The 17523-nt window shown below is 47.3% G+C and overlaps 1 protein-coding gene across 1 annotated transcript in view, besides 5 other annotated features; it reads right to left on the bottom strand.

The window, feature by feature from the left end:
- The window catches only part of KIF26B (kinesin family member 26B), a 554448-nt gene extending 548056 nt beyond the window's left edge, over positions 1-6392 (bottom strand). Inside the window, exons 1-2 of the mRNA NM_018012.4 lie at positions 5890-6392; positions 4694-5095 (exon numbers count right to left, since the gene is read on the bottom strand). Coding sequence (NP_060482.2) covers positions 4694-5095; positions 5890-5952 — 465 coding nt within the window. The 5' untranslated portion in view covers positions 5953-6392. The remainder of the gene's footprint in view (positions 1-4693; positions 5096-5889) is intronic.
- Positions 4444-4983: a silencer, noted in NCBI's record as "silent region_2029". NCBI's record gives its function as "represses an Ori minimal core promoter by ATAC-STARR-seq in GM12878 lymphoblastoid cells {active_cell/tissue: GM12878}" and the evidence as "EXISTENCE:reporter gene assay evidence [ECO:0000049][PMID:35858748]".
- Positions 6851-7050: a silencer, noted in NCBI's record as "silent region_2028". NCBI's record gives its function as "represses an Ori minimal core promoter by ATAC-STARR-seq in GM12878 lymphoblastoid cells {active_cell/tissue: GM12878}" and the evidence as "EXISTENCE:reporter gene assay evidence [ECO:0000049][PMID:35858748]".
- Positions 6851-7580: a biological region, named in NCBI's record as "H3K4me1 hESC enhancer GRCh37_chr1:245317099-245317774".
- Positions 6905-7580: an enhancer, noted in NCBI's record as "H3K4me1 hESC enhancer chr1:245317099-245317774 (GRCh37/hg19 assembly coordinates)". NCBI's record gives its function as "activates a minimal SCP1, AML or CMV promoter by ChIP-STARR-seq in naive and primed H9 embryonic stem cells {active_cell/tissue: H9 hESC(naive and primed)}" and the evidence as "EXISTENCE:reporter gene assay evidence [ECO:0000049][PMID:30033119]".
- Positions 7581-8256: an enhancer, noted in NCBI's record as "H3K4me1 hESC enhancer chr1:245316423-245317098 (GRCh37/hg19 assembly coordinates)". NCBI's record gives its function as "activates a minimal SCP1, AML or CMV promoter by ChIP-STARR-seq in primed H9 embryonic stem cells {active_cell/tissue: H9 hESC(primed)}" and the evidence as "EXISTENCE:reporter gene assay evidence [ECO:0000049][PMID:30033119]".

The raw sequence follows: 17523 nt of genomic DNA, 5'->3' as shown, positions 1-17523 counted from the left end.
TGCAGGCCAGGGATTTTTGCAAAGTGAATTAAGTCACTATAAAAACTGACCATGTTGCTTCACAATTAATAGTCTGGTAGAATGAACTGCCATTATTCCACAGCTTGCTAAGCCTTAAAAAGAGATTACTGCTCACATGTCTCTCCTGGGAATGTTTTTATAAACTCCCAAAATGTTTCAGAAATTTTCAAATGATAAATGCTGTAGGACTTTTTCATGACTGCTATTATCTACTAACTGCTCCTTTATCTAAAATACTTCTGATATGAGAAAGACTCAAATGAAGCTTTTTGAAAATAGCCACATGTTCTTAGAAGAAAGAGAAGATTTCAGCTAGAAGTCCCTTATAATTAATAAGTACTCGAAATGCAATGTCTGTTTTATCCTATCTATAAAATGTTTTATGATGGCTTTTGGGGGACTTTTTGCGTCTAGTTATTTTTCCATACCCCTCTTTTGGAGCTGGCAAAATACAGAAATATGCATGTGGGGATATCTATATCTCCTCAAGTCTAGACTTACTTGGTCTCCGGCTATTTAGAGTCCACGTTTGGCGTTTTTAACCCCTATGACGCATTCCTTTCTTTCATCTCTGTGATTCCTGGCCACCCTTCTCAGTATGTCTGGCTAATCTTCCTGATATTTCTGGGGCATAAATGGACTCAGAATATCTGACTGAGAGACAATCAGATAGGAACATAGTTCTGCACTTTTTTTTTTTTACATAAAAGATTTTCTTTTATTGATATGGAAATGAACAGATGTCTGATAACCTTTTGCCAACCTGGAGCTTTACTGCTTACTCCAGGGAATTTCGTTGGGCTGTTGTTTCGTAGGACTTGCCCAGTCCATTCAAAAGTTCTGTCACAGATATCAGAATGATCTAGGCTAGCCCAAAATTGAGCAATTCGTTCCTTGGCCCCTATTTCTGGCTCAGTGCCCTGACTGTGTACAAAGCAGGAAAGATGCTCTTGCCATTGGACATGAAATGGTTTTGTATTCACACACTGGAAGGCTACAGTGGGTAAAAGGGCCATTCTCACTTAAAATCTCAACACTTTACACGTCCACATTCTTTTATCCGACCACTTCCACTCACCGGCACCAAAAGAGAAACGATATAAACCCAGTAAGTACTTTTTGTACTGATCAAGGTAATAAAAGTCAATCTGAGTGTTTTACAATCTGCCACCAAGCACAAACGTCTACTCACCAGGTAAGTTGCTATCGGAAAGGATGAATACAGAGTATCAACAGCAGAGCTATGTGAGCTCACAGCTGTCACTTCTACACGCCAGTCTTGAGATAGCCAAAAACAAAGTGTTTTATTATTAAATCTGCCTCCATCTCTTTCCAGAAAGCTCAGACTCGCTGCATGGAAAACCAAACTCATGATCATCCTTCCCTCTGAGCTCCATCCAATTCCATGTCTCCTCCTATTTCCTACCTCAGCCAACACTATCACCCACTCCGTTACGTTCAAATAATGTCATTTTCTACCATGAAGCCCTATCCTCCATTGGAGTGCTCAGAATAAGATGGTTCTTCTCAGGCCACCAGAGCCAGGCACTAGCTCCTGGAACCAACCAGATACCCGGAATGGGCTCTCTACTACTTCACCTCCCCTCCTTAACCAACTGTTCCAAAGACAGAACGGGGGATTCAATAGGGCTTGCTACCTACCAACAGGCACAGTGTGAGAACTCATATGGCAGCATGTTTAGAAAATATACAGATGAAATTAGAAACTGACAGGAGTAATATCTTATAAGAAAAACCTTAAATTCTGTAAAACATAAATCTAACAGAATCTTAGCTCATTAATAATCATCAACCCTCATATCTTTCTCTAAAGAATGAAAGCACTTTTCAGACCTTACCTTGGATCATTTTAATGACGTTTTAATAGTCTCATTCATTTTTTTCCTTAGGATATTAATAGGAAAGTTAAAAAGTAGAGAGGAAAACTAATTTACCCAATGTCACAAAGTAAATCAGTGGTGAAGAAGAACCAAAACCAAATCCATCCTAAAATATTAAGGTTCCTGGATGTGCTATTCTGCTTTTGACTTTTAAATATCTACCTAGGAGACATTTAATACCACCTAGTAGAATTTAACACTCTATTTAAGAAAATATTTCCCAAATGCAGGTAAGCATCTTAAGCAAATTACACAGATGATTTTTGTTAATTACTCCTCAAAAACATGTCTTTATCTTCCAGACTCTTACTCTTCAGAGCGAACTGAGCGAACTGCATGTTGGAGTCACAGTGACACCTCTTGTTCTAATGAAACTTAACTCCTTCTGTGCCTGAGGGCTACAGTGGTCCACAGTTTGTTCATTAATATTGCTCCGGGAAGAAGAAAAGTCTTATCCAAGTTACATGGCCTCCATCCATGGTACACCAGAGAACATGGCAACTGTTTGGCTATAAGGTTGCAAATGCTAAAGGTATAATGGAAATTGTACCTAAATGCAAGGTACAAATGCTTAAAACACACACCACACACACACACACACACACACACACACACAATTATTATTCACAAAGGCTTGCAGAAATTTTGTAGTTAAAATTGAGGCCCCACATCTCATTACTAACAATGAGCTGATGCAAAGCATCCTTCTTCCTGGCTGAGCCCTGTCTATGCCCTTGCACCAAATGTCACGCTTTACTGTGCTGCTTCACATATAAAACTCAGGCGACTGTGGTACTATGTGACATTCACGTATGCACTTAAAGTGATCCCCTGTGACTGCCCCCATGACTGCCAGGTCTTCTCTAGATGTCCTTGGATCACTCGAAGTCATTGTAGAGCATGGGGGTTCAGCAAATCCAGTGTTTCTTCTGGGGCCATCACCTCACTCTGACAATACAATCAGTTTACCAACAAGAGTTTTACCTTATCACATACATAAAATTGGCAAATATATTGAGCTGCCTCCCGTGACACTGTAAGTGAATGTTCCAGGCTGTTTCTATAAAAACAAGATTCCAGCTGGTCACAGGACTCCATAAAACATGATGGATGCGTATGAGTTTCAACATTTGTTTCCTCTGTAGATTTTCCTTCCCCTCCTCTTTTTTTAAATGAGAAGAGTGTATTTTGATCGGCCTTTGCATATAGGAACACCCAAAGCCACAATAAGCCTATTATAAGAATAGGTCCTCAAGAAAGGTCTAAAATAATTTGGTAGGCTGTAACGTATTAGGACTGCCAAATATCAGCTACTAGATCTTTAAGAACCAAGGTCCTTCCATCTTTATCAGATGCTCCCATCCAGTTCAACAACCTCACAGCACCCTACATTCCCTCCACAAATGTGAAGACATTGTGAACTGTGCATTTTGTGGTTGTTATCTGTATCCTCCACTAGAATCTAAGCTCCACGTGGACAAGGACTGCATGAATGGACCTGGTATTTTCATTGCTGTGCCTGACACAGTGCCTCGGATGGAGTAGAAAATCAATGAATATTGATGAAGGATCACGAGAGCAAATAAATCTGTGAATGAAGAAACGGTGTTAAATCGGAAGGTCTAGCACGCAAGAGCGAAATAAGCTTTTTGATTCCTTGAGATGTATCCTTGGGATGTCACGGCAGATGTATCAAACTACAAAAACGGTACACTGACAACCATCCACGAGTTCATTATTCTTGAGATAAGTTCTGCATTCATAAAACCAATTCTCCTGGTGGTCATTTCCCCCATTTTAAGTTTCACAGCGTCTGTGGGCATTTGTTGAATTTAACCCTTGCCTATGAAAACATCAACGTGTGTATCTGCATACGCAGGTTGGGCCAGCAGACGCAGTCATTCCTAAACGCCTACTCGAAATCACAGTATTTCATTTCTAAAGTCACGGAAATAATAAACCAGAAATTGACGTTGAACCAACAGTGTCAAAAACCTCTACAGCAATCCACTCTATTTCCTTGATATTGCTCTCTAACCACTGATAAAAACTCTTTGAAGTGGCCGAGTAAATATGATCATTTGATAGTACTTGGACCCAACAGTGCAAATACAATCGCATTGCTATCCCCTGGGGGCTCGGGCCAGTCACACACTGCGGGCAGGGTTGCTATGGAGGAACCAGTGTGCTTGGCGCAGGAGCAGGCCAGGAGGGAGCACTGCTCCGAAGAGCCACCCGCCTCCGGATCTTCCTCAGACACACACACAGACTGAGAAGGGGAAAATGCTGGCTTTCGAGTATGTTTCTGTTTCTGCAACCGCGGAAAGGATGGACCACAAACAGGCAGTGGGAAATGCCAGCTCCGAGCATCAGCTTGCTTTTACAGCTCCCGCTGACATTTTTGTAAAGGATCACAGGTGGGGGTGGGGAGAAACATCGAAAGCGCAGCCTGCAGCCGCCAGGGAGAGCTGGGAGGGGGCGGCAGGAGAGACCACCTGGGGGCCTCCCCCGTGGGCCGTGAGGCCTGTGGCCACGGGCGCCCCTTCGCGCTCGGGACTCGGTCCTCCTGCCCCCCGGGCGGCCTGGCTGAGGAAGGGGCATGGGTCGCCCCGCGTGCTAGAGCCCCGTGAGGTGTGGAGCATCCCCAGCGCCGCCGGGGGCTCTCGCGTGGAGCCGGCGCGCAAGGTCGCGGCGGGCTGAGCAGCTGCTGTGGGTGGCGGCCCGGCCCCGCCCTCCCGGCGCCTCCCCAGCCAGCCCCGCGCGGCGCTCACCTTGCCCGGGAAGGGCCCCGGGAGGAGCAACCTCAGGGCCTGCCTCTTGAGCTCCACCAGGCGGGCGTTGCAGTTCTCGCACCAGACGCCGCGGTCCGAGCCGGGGGAGGAGCCGCCGCCGCTGCCGGAGCCCGGGGAGCCTGTGCCGAAGCCCGGAGAGCCGCCCAAGGAGCCCGGCGAACTAGTGCCGATGCCGGGGGAGGCGGGTCCCGGGGAGCCGGTGAACGAGCTCGGGGACGAGGTGCCCGAGCCGGGAGACGGGGTCCCCGAGGAGCCGAGCGCTGAGCCCGCGCCCTCAGGAGTGGGCCGGCTGCCGGCGCGCGACTCCTCGTATGCTTTCCGGTACCAGCTTTCCGGGGAGAAGGGCGCTGCGGGCTTGGTGGGCGAGCAGACTTCATTCACCTGCGGGGAAGACACGCCGGTGTCAGGGGCTGCAAGGCGGCGGGCTGCAGCGCCCAGGAGCTGGGTCATACGTGCGCCACCAAGTACCCGCTCGAACCGCCCACGGGAGTCGGTTGGGGACCTCTCCAAGCCCTGCGGCCAAATTGCCCTCCGTCTGTCTCGTTAATTGTCCTTAAGTGAGTCCCCACCGCCCAGGTGACCCCTGCGCTGGTCCCCGGTGGCCTCCTCCTGGGGTCAGGAAGGGGACTCGCTCGGGGCCGTTTCCACGGCTTCTGCAAGGCGGGGGGGATCCATAGGTTCAGCGCCCCACGCTTTTGAAGCCGGCACCTATCCCAGCAAGATCCCGGGAACAAAATCCTGGAAGACCCTATGGGGGGGGTAGGGGGAGGGCTGTGATTTCAGGATTTTTATTCATACGGGGTCCAACTCTCCGGATCCTGCAGGTAAACGAGAGGCTCTCACGGCTCCAGCTAAACGATCCGAGGTACTGCCCAGCATTCATGGGAAACCCTCCCCTTCGGCTTCACTCTGCCTAGAAGTGCAGGAATGCGGCAAAAGTTACGGGTGCGTGGAAAGGAAGGAACGAGAGGGCTGAAAAAATTCCGAGAGCGAGGCGAGCGTGCGGGCGTCCCCGCGGCCGACCCGCCTCCGCGCACTCACAACCCCGCCAGCCCCGGGGGCGCCTCTGCAGCGGGGGAGAGCTCGGGGCCGGGGCCGCACGATCCCGGGGAAAGGGGGACCTCCGCCGAGATGGGTCTGGTAACGCGTCTCCGCGTCGTACCGTCACAACTTACCCCGTATTTCTTGCCCCTGGTGGAGACCGCAAGCCTCTCTTTATTCCCAGCTACCGAATTCATGGTGGCTTTTCCAGAGGAGAGTATCTAAAGGTTCCACCGACGCTACATCCAGAAGGTCCTCCAACCCAGAAGCGTCCCCCGGCTGCAGGGGGCTGGCTCTCAGCCCTCAGGGCAAGGTTTCTTCAGCGGTGGGGTGGGAGGGAATGAAAGCAAATGGATCCCACAAGTAATAGCACCAATTTGCAGAAAGGGTTGGGGTCGCTGGTTTATTCTTCTCTTCAAAGCATGCTTTTCCTCGTCCCCTTCTGCCTCTTCCAGCCGCACGTCCTCTTGTCACGGCCACATCCACAGAACTGGCATTTTCTTCAGCCAAGTCAGTCCGTGCTCCCCCACGAGGAAAGCGAGGGATACAATCAGGGCTCGCGGCCGCTGCCGGGAAGGTGGGAGAGCCGAGCCGAGTCAGCTGTGGGAACTTGTCTCCTTCACCGAGCTTGGTAACTGAGTTCAAAGAAATTCTCCCAAAATATAAAGATCCAGACTCGGGGAGGAGCCTCGGCGTGTCGCCGAGCCAATATCCGCCGGCCCGTTTCGCCTGACAGTTGCGCGAGGGCCGGGAGAGGGGCGGCTCCGCGTGGCCCGGGAGCGGTCGGCGGTCACAGCGCGCGTGTGCGCCCGGGCGCAGCGCGGAGGAGCCTCGGGAACCTGCCGCCCTCGCCGCGCCGGCCGGGATCCATTTTATGTGGCGGCGCTCGTGCCTGACATTGCGAGGCCTGGAGCCGGGCTGGGGCTGGGGGCGGGGGATCGTCGATCTCGCCGCGTGCGGGGAAGTTCCTGGCGCGCGGCCCGGGCCCGGGGCTCTAATGAAACGCCGCTGCGCGAGCCTGGAGCCCGGGGGCCGCGCGAGCGAGCGTGGCTGGACGGAAATGCGGTGCCCCAGCCTCCCCCGCCCCCAAGTTCTTTCTCTTCCTGACAAGGCTTGCAGGTCTGTCTGTGAAACGCCGTGCAAAAGGGATTGAGTCACAAACAAGTCCACAAACATGCCGGGTCCTCCCCCCGCCCTTTGTTCTCGGAGAGCTGCCGGGCAAACCTTTTCTGGAATTGCCCTACCGACCCCGGGCCGGCCGGGGGGCCACCCTCCCCGACCGCAGCCGCAGGACTAGGGCCCTTGGTCCCCCGCCCGCCCGAGCCCCGGTCTGTGATGGACTAAGCCGCCCGGGGCTGGGACAGGTGAGCCTGGTGACCCAGCGGGCCGCTGCCGGGCAGGGGAAACTGAGGGCTTCGCCGCGCTGCACGCGGACGACTCTGGCCTGGAGAGGGGGTGTGGCGCGAGCTGGCCTTGGCCTCTCCTTGCGTGGGATCGGGCCCCTCGCCCCCCGCCGCCCGTTTCTTCCTGCGCCTGGGCCCCGCGGGGTCTCCGGAGCACCCCGTCATCGCTCCCTCTCCGATCGCCCCCCGCCCCAGTCCCCCGGCGCAGCGCCCAGGAGCGCAGGAAGCCGGCGTATGCCAGGCTCCACACGTGGCTGCTCTGGGGTGTCATTTTTCATTTCACGGGAGGACATTTCTTCTGGTGAGCCAGCAGGTCTGTTTTGTTGTGACCTTTAATTAACACCCCGCGAGACGCCTCTGGAAGGACTGGCCGGGCGCAGGGATCACGTGGGGTGTAACGGCATCTCCGCGCCCGCGGGGAGACCCAGCCCGGGGGTGGGCGAGGGCGCGAAGGACGTTCAGGGCTTTCTGGTCGCTGACTTCCTTCTGAGCTGTGGACGACGCAGGAGGGGGCAAGAAGACAAAGGTTCGGGGTTCTGGAAGCCTGGGGCCACGCCCCCACTCTGCCTTCCTCGGGGACAATTTCTTCTGTGCCTCCCGTGCTCTGCCCCACTCCTCCCCGCTCCAGCTCCTGCGCGGGAATATTTCACAGCCACCAAAGCGAGGTAAAAAGGTCAAAAGGAAGATGGCAAGAACAGAGTGGACGTTTCCGTTACGTTCCCACTTCCAATTTAAAAGCGATCCTATCAATAGGGGACCTTAGGGGGCAGGTACACCTCCAGGCAGCACGCGCCAGCTCCCACCCGCATCTGTATTTCGCGTAGGTGCCGCGAAACACATCATCGCCATTGGCCACGAGCCGCTTATCAGCCAAAAAGCAGCGTGTGGTGAAACGAGCCGGCGAGGCCGCGGGTGGGGAAGGTGGGGTGTCGAGGGGGAGTGTTGGGGAGCTGCGCGATCCACCTCGGAGACGGGGGAGCCCAGAGCTGCTCTGATTTGCATTTCTAAGTAGCTGGGGGCCCAAAGCGTGTTTGGTGGGCTCCGAGCGCCCTCTGTTGATTAAAGTTTATAACCGGAGGCTCTGCAAGAGTTTTTAAGAAGCTTTCAAAAATTGATGTTTATGTAAAATGTATATACATAAGATGAAACGCACACATTTTAATTGTTAAGTTCTATGAATTTTGACAAACGTGTACTCTGCGTAGGCCACCACCTCGATCAACATCTATAAATTCCTGTCCCTCTTGAAGGTTATCTACCTTTTCCCAGGCAATCCCCACCTCTCATAAGAAACTACTGTTCTGATTTCTATCAGCATGGGTTAGTGTGGACTGATCTGGAAGGGTTTTTAATTCATAGAATCCGTACAGCATGTACTCTTTTGGGTTTGGCTTTTTTCACTTAACACAGGTTTTTGAGTTTCATGTTGTTGCTAGTATGGGTCTGTTTTCTATCTCTACTCTCTTTCATTCTTCTGTCTCTCATGCCTTTTTTTGTTAATTGAATAACTTTTCAGTATTCCAGTTTCATCTCTCTGTTGACTTTTTAGCTCTGATGATTATAATATGGATTTTTTTTTTGAGGCAGGGGCTCACTCTGTTGCCTGGGCTAGAGTGCAGTGGCGCTATTATGGCACACGGCAGCCTCCATCTCCCAGGCTCAAATGATCCTCTCTCCTCAGCCTCCCTAGTAGCTGGGACTACAGGTGCACACCACCACACCTGGCTAATTTTTTTTTTTTTTAAGTAGAGACAAGGTTTCCCTGTGTTGCCCAGGCTGGTCTCAAACTCCTGAGCTCAAGCTGTCTTCCCGCCTCCGCCTTCCAAAGTGCTGGGATTATGGCATGAAACCACCATACCTGGCCTATAATATGAATCTTTAACATTTCATAGGCTACTTAGAATTAACATTGTGCCGCTTCACCTAAAATGTAGACTTGCAACCTCTCCATCTTACCTTCCTCCTTTGTGCTACTAATTTGATATATTTTACATCTACATGCATTATAAAATCCACAAAACAATTTCATCAATTTTACTTGAAACAATCTGTTGTCTTTCAGTGAAAATGTCAAGTTTTTTATATTTACCCAGTTTTGTCATGTCTGGGGCTCTTTATTTTTTTTCCTTTAGAGGCAAGTTTCTAACTGGGTCATTTCTTTTAGTGTTTCTTATAGTGAGGGTCTCCTGGCAACAAATTCTCAGATTCTGCTTATCTGAAAATGTCTTTGTTTCACTTTTGTGTTTGAAGAATCGTTTAGCTAGACGTAGAATTCCTGATTGACAGTTATTTTTCTTTCAGCCCTTTGAGGATGTCATTCATTGCTTTTTGGCCTTCCTTGTTTCTGATGAGAGGTCAGCAGTAATTCATATGGACAGTCTCCTGTATGTAATGTGTCTTTTTTTCTCTGAGTTCTTTGAAGATTTTTTCTTTGCCTCTGGTTTTCAGTAATTTGACTATAATATTTCTATATGTGTTACTTTTTGTATTTATCCTGGTTAGGGTTTGCTGAATTTCTAGGATCTGTAAATTGATCTGTAAGTTTTTTACCAAATTTGGGGGATTCTCAGCCACTACTTAGTCAAATATTTTTTTCTGCCCTGTTCTCTCTTTTTCCTCTCCTTCTGGGATACCAATTACATGTTTGTTATTACAGTGCTTGATATTGTCTTATAGGTTATTGAAACTCTGTTCATTATTTACATTTTTACCTCTTTACAGACGGAATCATTTCTATTGCTCCTTTATTAAGTTCGCCAACCTTTGCTTCAGCTGCCTCCAATCTGCTGTTAAGCTGATGCAGCTGATCCAAAAATTGCATATGTGTGTGGGTGTGTGTGTGTGTTTCCAGTTCTCTGTTTTTTTCCCCCTTTAAATCCTTAAACATATTTACAGTAGCGTATTTAAAGTTCTTGTCTGAATTCCAACCTCTGACTCATTTGGGGGTCACTTTCTATTAACTGATTTTTCTACTGACTCGGAATCACATTTTCCTGTTTCTTTTCATATTCAAGAAATTGTAACTGTATATTGAATATTGTAGATGCTACATCATAGAGATGCTAGATTCTATTCCCTTCCTTGAGGAGTATTGATTTTTGTTCTAGCAGGCAGTTAAGTTACTGATGGGTCACCTCGAACTTGAGGAGGCTTGGTTTCATGCTTTCTTTGAGTGGTTCTAACTAGCTTTTGCCCTGAGATCTAAGGAAAATCCCTTAGTCCTGGGACTGTTCTTTATCCCCGAGGCGCAGCCCTTCTGCAGCTTCAATGGAAAGCCTAACCGCTTTGCCAGTCCCCTCTAACTTGGAACTCAGACTCCAACTCTGCTCCGTGCACTTGACAGGACTTGCAGTCTCTGCTCAACTCCTTCACCATGCAGTTCCTGCCTTCTCTCGACTTCCTGCAGCTCTTCTGGGTGTTCAGAGTTCAACTCATCAGCCAGATTTGAGGGAAATTTTAGTGGATTTCAGGGCTGCCCCAGTGTGGCTCTCTCCTTTCCTGGATTCTCCTTCCCCCTCTCCAGCTACTCTTGACAGCCCTGAACTTCACCATGGAATGCCTCAAACCCTACGACTGGCTTTTTTCTTGTGCTCTAGTCACAGTGCTCAGCAGACTGGAAGGAGGGCCCTAGAACCCTTCTTTTAAGGATTAGATCTTCGAACCCCTTCCAGTCTCTGCCTGCTTCTGGCCATTCTCCAGGGCCCTTAAATGGGTTGGTCATTGTTGTCAGTTTATGAGAGTTTTCTTTGGGAAATTCAACGTTGTACATAAGATACTCCCGAATTCTAGTTTTAACGGTGGCTTTTTCAGATCTACCTTGGGCTTTTGGAATTCTTGTTGTTTCAAGGGTTTTCTTTCTATGAATTAGCAGCCTGTAGCTATAATTTGATTCTCTATTAGACTGAGGAATTTCAGTGTTGCAACTGAAACCTTTACTCATTACTCATAGATAGATAAATGATATAGATTATAAATATACATGTTTTTCTTCTTCACATTTGAGGATGTTAACACTATTACTTCAAGATTTAGGTGGGAAAAGACACTCATTTTAAGAATGAAAAAATTATATACTGGCTTATAAAAGCCAAGAGTTTTTTTTTTTTTTTTTTTTTTTAAGACGGAGCCTCACTCTGTTCCCCAGGCTGGAGTGCAGTGGTAAGATCTCAGCTTATTGCAACCTTCACCTCTCGGGTTCAAGTGATTCTCATCCCTCAGCCTCCCAAGTAGCTGGGACTACAGGCATGCACCACCATGCCTGACTAATTTTTGTATTTTTAGTAGAGACGGGGTTTCACCATGTTGGCCAGACCAGTCTTGAACTCCTGACCTCAAGTGATCTGCCCACCTCGGCCTCCCAAAGTGCTGGGATTACAGGTGTGAGCCACCACACCCGGCCACCAAGAGCTTCTATGAACATCAATTTATTGATTCCGTTGATATCCCTGGGTGAAAAACATATCTTTCTGGTGTATCCATGAGTACAAAGTGCAAAGAAAGCTAAAGTCCATTACCTGGCTAAGAATGAAATTTTTATTCCATATTCCTTGTTGCTTAATTATTAAATGGACATAACTTCTTTGGGAATGCCTCACGGGACTTTTATATTTCAGAGAATGCAGTTTAGCTTTCCCATTATTTATAACTCAGGGGTGAATAGATCATAAATTTTATAGCTAAAATATATTATATCATTGTGTTTTTGAAAGTCTGAAAGTATAAATCAGAAATAAAAAACCAGCCAGGTGCGGTGGCTCACAACTATAATCCCAGCACTTTGGAAGGCCAAGGTGGGTGGACTGTTTGAGCCCAGGAGTTGAAGACCAGCCCAGGCAATATAACGAGACCTCATCTTTACAAAAAATACAAAAAAAAAAAAAGCTAGATGTGGTGGTGCATGCTTGGTAGTCCCAGCTACTTGGGAGGCTGAGGGGAGGATCATCTGAACCCAGGAGGCAGAAGTTGCAGTGAGCCAACATGGCATCATTGAACTCCAGCCTGGGCAACAGAGCAAGACTGTTCAAAAAAAAAAAAAAGGCTGGCAACTTCTAATTGCTAAGTTGACTGTACAGTACAGCAGATTTCACTCCTCTTCAATATTTTGCTTTCGAAATAATTTCCATATCAGTTCAGGCACCAACATGCCGACAGAGCCACTGAAGTGCGTGTGCTAGAGACGGCTGTGTTTCTCCTTGAAGAATAATTAAAGCAGCTTACACTGGCCACGTGGTATCTTGATGAATATGCAGACAATATTTGCATATGATCTTCTGGTGTTCTGAGGACCGTATGATCATGCGGGGGCCACCAGAGAGTCATCGGCAAGCTGGTAACGTGAATCTGTGTGCCTGGTCATTATTGTGGTATAAGAGGAGGGTTGTTATCCTGCAAGCTGAGAAAGGGTTTCCACTCTTGAAATATCATTTCAATCATTAATCATTTTAGCCTTATAAATTCCTTCCACGCTAAATTCCAAGGCTTGATTTCAGTCTGAAATTAAAAGTTCAGATGATAAAGGTAGATAGAGAGAAAAGATATGAACCAAATTTGTGTAGTCAGAGTGATACATTTTTTTTTGGTTGTTAATTTTATTTTGTTTTGGGGTTGGGGGAGAAAACTTAAAAAAGATTTTAAAAGACTTTAAAAAGATTAAAAAGAGCGAGGAGGATCAGACAATGTGTCCTCAGCCCACTGACCTTGGGTTCCAGATGCTCACAACCTTGGGCTGTGCTGCCCCTTCCACAGAAGTAACCTGCTTTGAAAAGGGATCACAGCATCCAGTGTAGCTCTGTTTATAATAGCGAAGGGGAGAAAAACAGCCTAAACGCACAAGAGTGGGGATGGGTTTAATAACTCACAGTCTAAGCCAGGCACAGTGGCACACACCTGTGGTCCCAGCTACTCAGGAGGCTGAGGCTGGAGGATGTTTTGAACCCAGGGGTTCGAGGCTGCAGTGAGCTATCATGGTGCCACTGCACTCCAGTCTGGCCAACATAGTGAGACCCCATTTCTTAAAAAAAGTAAATAAACAACTTACAGTCTAGTCAGACAGTGGAATACCTTGCAGCCCTTACAAATGCTCATAAAAGAATAATGGAATGCAAAGATATTGATCATATATTAGTGTTAAGTTAAAAAGTAAAGTATATGCAATATGATAATAACTCAGTAAAACCAAAAGAAAAGTATATATGTATCAGGAAAAAAAGATTAGATTTTAACACCAAAATATTAAAAAGCATAACAATTCTTTGGGGGGAGTTGCTAATTCTAATTCTGTTTTCTTTTTACTTTTGTTTGAGACAGGATCTCACTCTGTTGCCCAGGCTGGAGTACAGTGGCACAAGTGTAACTCACTATAGCCTTGAACTCCTGGGCTCAAGTGATCCTCCTGCTTCAGCCTCCCAAGCAGCTGGCAACTCTAATTGCTGGGCTTCGGGCATGCACCACCATACCTGGCTAATTATTTTATATTTTTTTATACAGACAGCATCTTGCTATGTTGCCCAGGATAGTCTCAAACACTTGGCCTCAAGTGATCCTCCCCGCACCTCAGCCTCCCAAAGTGCTGGGATTACAGGCATCAGCCACCATGACCAGCCTCTAATTCTGTTTTCTAAGACAGAATTTAATATTAATATTTAATATTCTTAATTTAATATTCTTATGAGAAAAAGATTAAAAGGAACTTAAAGCAAGTTTCAGTGTCAGAGAGGAATCACAAGAAGCTAGAGGGTAAACGATGTGTGTGCCCACAAAGCATCCAGACACACACACACACACACACACAATGTGAGCAACATGCACACATTGCACACACACACAGCTGCATGCCTAGCCAAAGCCAGGATACAACAAAGCAGGCTGGGCACGGTGGCTCACACCTGTAATCCCGACACTTTGGGAGGCTGAGGTAGGAGGATCACTTGAGGTCAGGAGTTCAAGACCAGCCTGGCCAACATGGTGAAACTCTGTCTCTACTAAAAATGCAAAAATTGGCCTGGCGCGGTGGCTCACGCCTGTAATCCCAACACTTTGGAGGCTGAGGCGGGTGGATCACGAGGCCAGGAGATCGAGACCGTCCTGGCTAACATGGTGAAACCCCGTCCCTACTAAAAATACAAAAAAAAAAAAAAAAATTAGCCCAGCGTGGTGGCAGGCACCTGTAGTCCCAGCTGCTCAGGAGGCTGAGGCCGGAGAATGGCGTGAACCTGGGAGGTGGAGCTTGCAGTGAGCCAAGATCGTGCCACTGCACTCCAGCCTGGGCGACAGAGTGAGACACTGTCTCAAAAAAAAAAAGAAAAATACAAAAATTCACCAGGTGTGGTGCGCACCTGTAGTCCCAGTTACTTGGGAGGATGAGGCAGGAGAATCACTTGAACCCCAGAGGCAGAGGTTGCAGTGAGCCGAGATCATGCCACTGCACTCCAGCCTGGGCAACAGAGTGAGAGGGAGCCAGGAGTTCAAGGCTACAGTGAGCTATGTTTGCACCACTGTGCTCCCTGGACAACAGATAGAAGCCTCATCTCTCTCTCTCTCTCTTTTTTTTTTTTAAAGGCAAAGCCAAGGAGAGTGCCAGGGAAAAACATAAACCCTTCCTTGGTCCCCAAGCAAGAACCACACACAGCTTAGGATCTGAGGTGGAAGATGTGGGTAGCAGGTGGGGCATAAAAAGCTAAAAAGCTGTGGAAGTCCAGAACTTAGAATAAAATACAACTGGGCCTAATTGAGGGTAGAGGATGGGAGGAGGGAGAAGATCAGAAAAAATAAGTATTGGGTACTAGGCTTAGTACCTGGGTGACAAGATTATCGGTACAACAAACCCTCGTGACACAAGGTTACCTATATAACAAACCTGCACATGTACCCCGAACCAAAAATAAAAGTTAAAATAACGAATAAAAAAACCCACTACCTATATGATTGGTGACTGTTCCAATGAATTCAAAAGAGAACCAGACTAGAATATCATTTTCTTGCTGGGGGGTGGCGGGGGGGAGTTCCTGGAAACATTTTTATTTAAAATTTTTAAAACAGCACTCAAATTACAGGCAGGAGAATTGCTTGAGCCCAGGAGTTTGAGACCAGCCTGGACAACATAGTGAGAACCCTGTCTCCACAAAACTAAAAAATTAGCCAGGTGTGGTGGCATGCACCTGTAGTCCCAACTACTTGAGAGGTTGAGGTAGGAGGATCACTTGAGCCCAGGAGGTCGAGGCCGCAGTGAGCCATGCTGGGGCCACTGCACTCCAGCCTGGACGAGAGAGTGAGACCCTCTCTCAAAAAAAAAAAAAAAGTGATGGGACGGGAGGGCCTTACAATTCCATAATTAGAAAACAAACAACCTCATCAAAAAATGGGTGAGAGACATGGACAGATATTTCATCAAAGAAGCTCTGTGTGTGGCTAATAAGCACATGAAATGAGGCTCCACATCATTCGTCATTAGAGAAATGAAAATTAAAAATACAAAGGACACCACTTCATACCCACTAGAACGACTATCATCAAAAAGACAGGCAATGACAACATTGTTGAGGATGTGGAGAAACGGGAACCCTCATGCGTTGCTGGTGGGAATGTAATATGGTGTGCTGTGTTGGAAAACAGTTTGGCAGTTTCTCAAAAAGTTAAACATAATATCACTGTACCGTCATCAACTTCATTCCTTAGTATCTATCCCAAGAGAAATAAAAGCATATGTTCACATTCACACAAAGACTTGCACACAAAAGTTCATAGTGGCATTATTTATAAATAGCCAAAAAGAGGTGAAATGTGCCTCAGCTGATGGATGGACAAAATGCGGTGTATCCAAAAATGGAGTATTACTGGGCAATAAAAAGGGATGAAATACTGATATACTGATAGACATCACAACACAAATGAATCTCAAAAGCATCATGCTAACTGAAAGAAACCAGACATGACAGATCACGTAGTGTGTGATTTCATCTATATGAAATGCTCAGAAGGCAAATCTGTAGATAGAAAGTAGCTTAGTGGTTGCCTGAAACTGGGGGTAGGAACAGGGATTAATTGTAAATGGGATCTTCATTGGGATGATGAAAATGTTCTGAAACTGATTTATGGTGATGGCTGCACCACTCAGTAAATTTACCAAAAAATATTGAACTGTGCACTTGAATAGGGTGGGTTTTATCATATGTAAAATATGTCAATAGTGCTGTTTTTAGAAAGTGATGGGAGAGGTAAAGGAGGGGATGGAAATTGGGGATCAATTTCAGAGCTGTTGGCACTCAATCGGCTAGGCTTGGAGACTAAACTGATGTGCAGAGATGGCAAGGATGATTTTCAGGCATATGAGCTGGGCAAGAGAGATGAAATACCATTTCCAACAACAAGAAAAGTGGGAGGAAGATGATGCATTTGATTTAGAAAAGATATGGCCACAATACACATATACACCATGGAATACTATGAAGCCATAAAAAAGAATGAGCTCATGTCCTTTGCAGGGACGTGGATGAAGCTGGAAGCCGTAATTCTCAGCAAACTAACACAGGAACAGAAAACCAAACACTGCATGTCCTCACTCGTAAGTGGGAGTTGAACAATGAGAACACATGGACCCAGGGAGGGGAACATCACACACCGGGGCCTGTCGAGGAGGGATAGCATTAGGTCAAATACCGAATGCATGTGGGGCTTAAAACCCAGATGACAGGTTGATGGGTGCAGCAAACCACCATGGCACATGTATACCTATGTAACAAACCCGCATGCTCTGCACATGTATCCCAGAACTGACATTAAAAAAGAGAAAAGATATGGCCACAATAATCCAGTTGTCTTTTCCCTCTGAAGCAAAAGTCCCAGAGAGAGAGTTAGCCTGTGTGCCCACTTCAGGAATCCCAGCATGTCCAGCTAGAGTCCCCATGGGGTCTAGCTTCATGTCGTCTTGGGAGAGGGGACCCCAGCACTGGGAAGATCATCAAAAGACACTGGCTGATTGCTGTTGGGAATAGAAGAGCCATTAAAGAAAATGAACTGAGAATGTGTGCTTAATTAAAAAAAAAAAAAAAAAGTTGTGATACTAAGAACTCTGTAAAGAACTGCCAGAACAAAGTTGCCGTGGCCAGGAGTAAGGCACGGGCTGTCTCCACCTAAGCCATACGAGCCGCAGCAGGTGCAGCAGCTTCAGCTGTGGGAGCGATGGCCACCAGAGTCAGCCGTAAGGGTGGTGGGCAGAGAAGCACACACAGCCCAGAGAAGGGCTTCAAAGACCGTGGTGGAGACACGGAAGCAACCTGAGGACCTGCTCAGGGAAGAGAGGGACTTGCTGGGGTGTGGGATTCCAGGATTCCTCCAATGAGGGCTTAGAATCAAGACCCATTTTTCTAA

Source organism: Homo sapiens, chromosome 1, assembly GCF_000001405.40.
Source record: "Homo sapiens chromosome 1, GRCh38.p14 Primary Assembly".
Classification (NCBI taxonomy): Eukaryota; Metazoa; Chordata; class Mammalia; order Primates; family Hominidae; genus Homo; species Homo sapiens.
Note: the sequence above shows the minus strand (reverse complement) of the source record. Positions and strands in the feature narration are given on the sequence as shown.